At 40.8% G+C, this 6,000-nt stretch overlaps 1 long non-coding RNA gene across 1 annotated transcript in view; it reads left to right on the top strand.

Moving 5' to 3' along the window:
- The window catches only part of LOC105373525 (uncharacterized), a 38,670-nt gene extending 33,687 nt beyond the window's left edge, over positions 1-4,983 (top strand). The window contains exon 3 of the long non-coding RNA NR_188368.1: positions 3,528-4,983. This is a non-coding gene — a long non-coding RNA (uncharacterized LOC105373525). The remainder of the gene's footprint in view (positions 1-3,527) is intronic.
- The last annotated feature ends 1,017 nt before the right edge of the window (positions 4,984-6,000 follow it).

Consider the following 6,000-nt stretch of genomic DNA (forward strand, 5'->3'; position numbering starts at 1 on the left):
AATCACCCAAATGTAGTATGGAGAGTGCAAGTAAATGTGAATCTTGGTTACATTTCACAGGGTTTCAATTCTTTTTCAGGCTCATTTTATCTGCATCCAAGCGGGATACACAGTGCCCACTGGACAGGTGATATGGCGCCTCTGTGTATCACAGGGTGACCAAAGTGGGTGGTAGAACACAGGGGAAGGTGGCTTGCTCCCAAGTTGTGCTATTGAATTACAGTCTGTCCAAGGAGAGTGATCTCTTGTTTTGGCAGCAAGTACTAATCCTGGAAACTATAAAAAGCCGAAGCATTCAAAAATAGGCTGTCACATAGAAAACCATAAATTACTGCAGCCAAGTAGTCCATCACTCTCATTCATGCTGCTACCTTAAGCTAAGAAGAGTGGTCTGCCTGAGGGGGAAAAACACAAAACCAAACCTTATTTCTGTTATCTTTTGATTCCCTTTCTTGCCCATTTCAGGAGAAGCTAGAAGACAGCTTTATTTAATTATGTAATACCTTTTTTTAGTTTTATATGTTTAAAGGCTTCATGGAGCTGCTCGGCATAGAAAAAGGAATCTATTCCAGGAGCAAAAGTGAGATCATCATTCTTAGATGCCATACAGCTGAAAATGTCACAATAGTAAGGGATTCGTATGTAAAGCAAAATATAGAGAGACAAATACATTCTCACCTTGATTTCCATTATAATTTCTGATTTGAATACTCTTGGGAAATTGATCTGAAATGCAATACAAATCACCTTGTAGAATCTTGCTGTCTATGCCAAGGCATGCTTTGCCTTTATGGGCATGTGCTTTGTGTAAAAGAATGTCCCCTCAGGCCACTTCTCCTAGAAGAGCTGGTCAAAGAAACACGACTGTGAGATTTTGACACACTCACTAAATGTAACATATATTACCATGTACCCCTCGGTGAATATCCATTTGTTTGGAAGGTCTTAAATACTCTATCAGTCTTATGTGTACAAGTACACACCATTGCTCCAGATATTCAACCACATGGAGGCTGCTTTAGACTGAAGGTAGGCTAGACCACCTTGTTTTTATCACACAGTTATTAAAAGACCAGCACAGAATGGAAGTGTCTCATCATCTGGTTACCAGGATATTTCCTTTAAGTGTTTTCTATACCAGGACCCATTCATATAGCAGTTAATTACAATGGACTTTCTAAGGTGAAGAAAGAAAAGAGACAGGGAAGTAACCTGAAAGATCATTTCTATAATTTTTCAAAGTTTATCTGCAACAAGCAGAAAAGTCAAGATAACTACCAAATTGAACTACAATATAGATAGATGATAGATAGATAGATAGATAGATAGTTAAAGATAGATAGATACATAGATAGAGATAATAGGTAGAAATAGATAAGTGGAAGAACTTTCATTGTTTTTAACTGCACAAAATGGAAGTTGTCCTAACTCGATATGCATAGATCAAGGCGGACTTATACCAATGAGAAAGGAACTTCTCAGTTGACAGAGTTTAATTCTAGTGACCCTGGCATTCATCCATACATTCACTTATTTGTCACACATTTATTGTATCAGAAACTGAAGAGGAATTCAGGGATGTAAGACTTAGTCCCTGTCTTCAAGTAGCTCGCGATCGAGAATGGGAGAAAGATATGCAAGAGTATAATTATCATGCAATGTGGTGAGCATGATGATGGCCACAGTGAGACAGTGGGTCCTGGGAGTGAGACTCACATGGAACATGAGAGTGAGAATCAGAGAAGGTGGATTGCTAGGGAGATGAAGGTGAGTTTTTTAAAAAACCTCTCACAGCCTAAAAGCACAGCATGGCAAAGTCACAGAGTTCTGAAACAGCCTGAGGTTGTTCTGCAGATAGTTCAGGGAAGACATAGACCGGGGGTGGGGAGTGAGGAAGCATGGTAGAAGAAGGGTGACCAGATAGGAAACTCAGGCTGGGCACGGTGGCTCATGCCTGTAATCCCAGCACTTTGGGAGGCTGAGGCAGGTGGATCACCTGAGGTCAGGAGTTTGAGATTAGCCTGGCCAACATGGTGAAATCCTGTCTCTACTAAAAATACAAAATATTAGCCGGGCGTGGTGGTAGGCTAGTAGTTCCAGGTACTCGGGAGGCTAAGGAAGGAGATTGCTTGGACCCGGGAGGTGGAGGTTGCAGTGAGCCAAGGTCATGCCACTGCACTCCAGCCTGGGCAACAGAGCGAGATTCTGTCTCAAAAAAAAAAAGAGACTGGATGATGAGCCACGCCCAGCACACCAGTTGCCTCCTGGGCTCTGCCAGGGACTTGAGGCTTGAGCCTAACGATAATAGGAAGCCACTCATTGAGCAAACCCATCAAATTCCCCAAACAGAGCTTTCACCAGTATTTGGACAAATAAGCTCTGTTCTTAAAAAGCAATACTTTTTGAAGACCAAAAATTCCATCATGATCCTGGCCATAAAGCTCGCAGGCTCACAGGTCTGACTGTCAGAGGGCGGGGTAAAAGAATGTGAGAGTCAACACAGTGAGCACCGTTCCTGGCTTGTGGAAAATGACAGGGGTCTTCAAACTGCATGTGCTCTCAACTTTGAAGAGACATCAACGTTGTTGGTGAGGAAAAAGGCAAAATCATTGTCTTTTGTGGAGTGACTTCTTTTAAACATGGGAAAACAGAACACTTAATGTGTTGTAACAGTGTTTAAAGATGATAAACTCATTATGTATTAATATTTTACAAAAGTTCCTCCGGCCAGTACAGGGAAGCAGTTTGTGTGTTGCGTTTGACATTAATTCCATCAGAAAACTGCACAAAAAGCATGGAAGTCACTAATATGACGTGAAAATCCTAGTCTTCAATTATATTAGAGGCGTTAGTCCATTATATTAATCTCTTACACAGTTCCTTTCTACCAATCAGATTAGCAAATTTGGTTTAAACTAATGTACTATAAATATCTTATTTTTATTAAGTATGAGAAAATTGTGGTTTTGCTTATATTGAATGGTTGATATCATTTATCCCCCTATGTCAGATTAATGATAAAGGAGATATTTGGTGGACTGTGTTCCCTGTCTCTTAGTAATGAAGTCAAGAATGTTATTACTCTGGGACAACTTTGGATTAATACAAAGGGATGGCCCAGGCATGCTGGCACTTACCTGTAATCCTAACACTTTGGGAGGCTGAGGCAAGAGAATCACTTGAGGCCAGGATTTCAAGACCAGCCTGGGCAATACAGCAAGACCCCATCTCCACAAAAAATAGTCAATCACAGTAGCACGTGCTTGTAGTCCCAGCTACAAGCAGACCCAGGTATTTGGGAGGCTGAGGTGGGACGATTGCTTGAGCCCAGGAGATCGAGGCTGCAGTGAGCTATGATCATTCCACTGCACTCCAGATTGGGTGATAAGAGTGAGACCTGGTCTCAAAAAAAAAACAAAAACAAACAAACTAAACAAACAAAGAAATAACAGGACACTTAACATGAAAACTACAAGTTTAAACTTAGAGAAAGGAGTTTATGACTTTCCATTTTGTTTACTGTCCAGCTTCAAGCCAAGCAAGATATCAGTGCCTCTCCACATCTGAAGAATGTTACATGGTGATTCAGCCCATGGCGATCCCTAAGACATGTTACTTCCATTGAATTAAGACACAAAAAGTTGCCTGATGGCTCTTCTCACCATGCTAACTGGAACGCCTGAGAAGAAAATCAAATCACCGCAGCCGGCACTCCCTGCTTCCCCATCCTACTTCCCTGAGAAAACTGAAGCTGTCAGAAGAGAACTTCCACAGATTCCTACCACCATAGATGCTCTCCAGATGGTTAAATCCAACTGTACTTGGTGTAACTGCCTGGAGCACAGTGGATCACTCACTCCTCCTTGATACACGTGCTTCCCTGCCCTCTCTTAGGTTTCCACCTCCCTCTGACTCTTTCTTAGTCCACACGACTTCTTCATCTCTTTCCCCAGATGTCTCCATGTGTGACTTCTCCAGGCACAGTCCTTTCCCTTTTTCTGCTGCTACTCTCACTTCTGGGGTGACCTGGGCAGCACTTGCCCAACTGCTGTTCTCCCTATTACGTGTGACATCAACTCTGTCCTCCCAACTGCTCAAGTCTTAGCTATCCTTGACTCTTCCCTTTCTCTCACACCCACATCCAACCCATCAGGGATTCTGCCACACTGCCTTTAAAATGTATTCATGACCCAGTTTCTCACAGCTTCCACGTCTGCCCCCATGGCAGAGCTGCCACACGCTTGCCCACGTCACCACATCGGGCTTCCTGCTGGACATCCGGTGTCTGTCCCTGCCACTGCCATCTAAAAGCCCCTCAACGGCCACAGGAAGCCTTTAAAAGCAGAAGTCAATCATCTGTTCAAAACCCTTTCCTGGGTCCTATTTCTATTCAGAGTAAAAACCAAAGTGCTTGCAATGGCCACCAAACCTTGCTAATACCTGTCCCAGGCCCCTGCAAGGGTCGCTCTGATCTTGTCTACTACACTGTCCATCACTCACCCTGCACTACCCCTCCCGGCTTCCCTGTTCTCCCCCAGCTGCAACCCCTAGTCCGAGGGCTTTTGCTCTGGCAGTTCTTTCTGGCAGTAAAAAGAGGCCCTTTTCCCCAGGTATCCACGTGGTTAATTTCCGCACTGGCAAGTCATTGCTCCTATGTCACTTTCCCAGTGAGGCCAATTGCAACCACTTAACACCTCAACCTGTCTCCCTTACCCCCACACCCCTGCTTTATTTGATTTTTGATCCTTCTTATCCTATTTTTCTTTTTACTGTAACACTCTTATCATCCTAATATACTACATAACTCACTTATTTGATATGCTTACTGTTAATTTTCTGTCTCCCACTGCTACAATATAAGCCCCACATTGGTGGGGGGGTGGGGGGGCTTTAGTTTGTTCATTGACAAACCCTAAGCACATGGAACAATGTCTGATATATAATGGAAGTGAATAAATGTTTGATAATAAATGCTTACACTAAGCATTTCACCATCCATAACAATTATTTGTAAATATGAAACTTTTATTTTGTATTTCCCTGACAATTAAAGTAATACAAATCCATTTAGAAATTTTTGAAAATGCATCACACATTAATGTCAAGAAGATATAAATAAAAATCATCAATAAGTTCACCAATCAGTTAAAAAAGTTAACTTTTTAGTCCATTTTTCTATAAATGTTTAGATCATATTGTAAACACTATTATATATATTACTCTTTTGTTAAATACTATATCAGAATCATTTCCATTACATGAAGAATGTATCAAAACATCTTTTCCAAATAGCTGTGTAATATCCCATCATGCACGTTACCATGTTTCATTTAACTATGGTCATTTAGATTGTTTTCATGTATTTCATATTATTTGCAGTTGCATTGAACATTGTTGTGGAGAGTCCTTATCCACATATATGATTTTTCCTTGTGACTAATTCATTGAGAAGGGAGACAATTGGCATGAATAGTTTTAAGGATATTTATATATGCAGCTAATTTGCCTTTCAGAAAGGGGATGCCAATTTGTACTTCCACCAGCAGCATATCTGTACCAATGAGAGGTTATAATAGAATTAAACATCATAAAATTCGTTACTTTTTTCCTTAAAAAATTATAAATAGAATTTCCTTATATTCCAATAATCCCACTTCTAGGTATATATCCAAAAGACTTGAAAGCAGTATCTCTAAGAGATATATGCATAACCATGTTCACAGCAGCATTATTCACAATAGCCAAGAGGTGAAAGTAACCGTATGTCCACTGATGGATAAGAAGATAAACAAAATGTGATATATACCTGCAATGGAATATTATTCAGCCTTAAAAAGGAAGAACAATCTCTCACATGCAACAACATAGATGAACATCGATGACATTATGCTAAGTGAAATAGGCCAATCCACAATAAGACAAATACTGTATTATTCCACTTACATGAGGCACCTAAAGTACTGAAATTCATAGGAGCAGACATTAGAATAGTGATTACCA

This window comes from Homo sapiens, chromosome 2 (assembly GCF_000001405.40).
Source record: "Homo sapiens chromosome 2, GRCh38.p14 Primary Assembly".
Taxonomy (NCBI): Eukaryota; Metazoa; Chordata; class Mammalia; order Primates; family Hominidae; genus Homo; species Homo sapiens.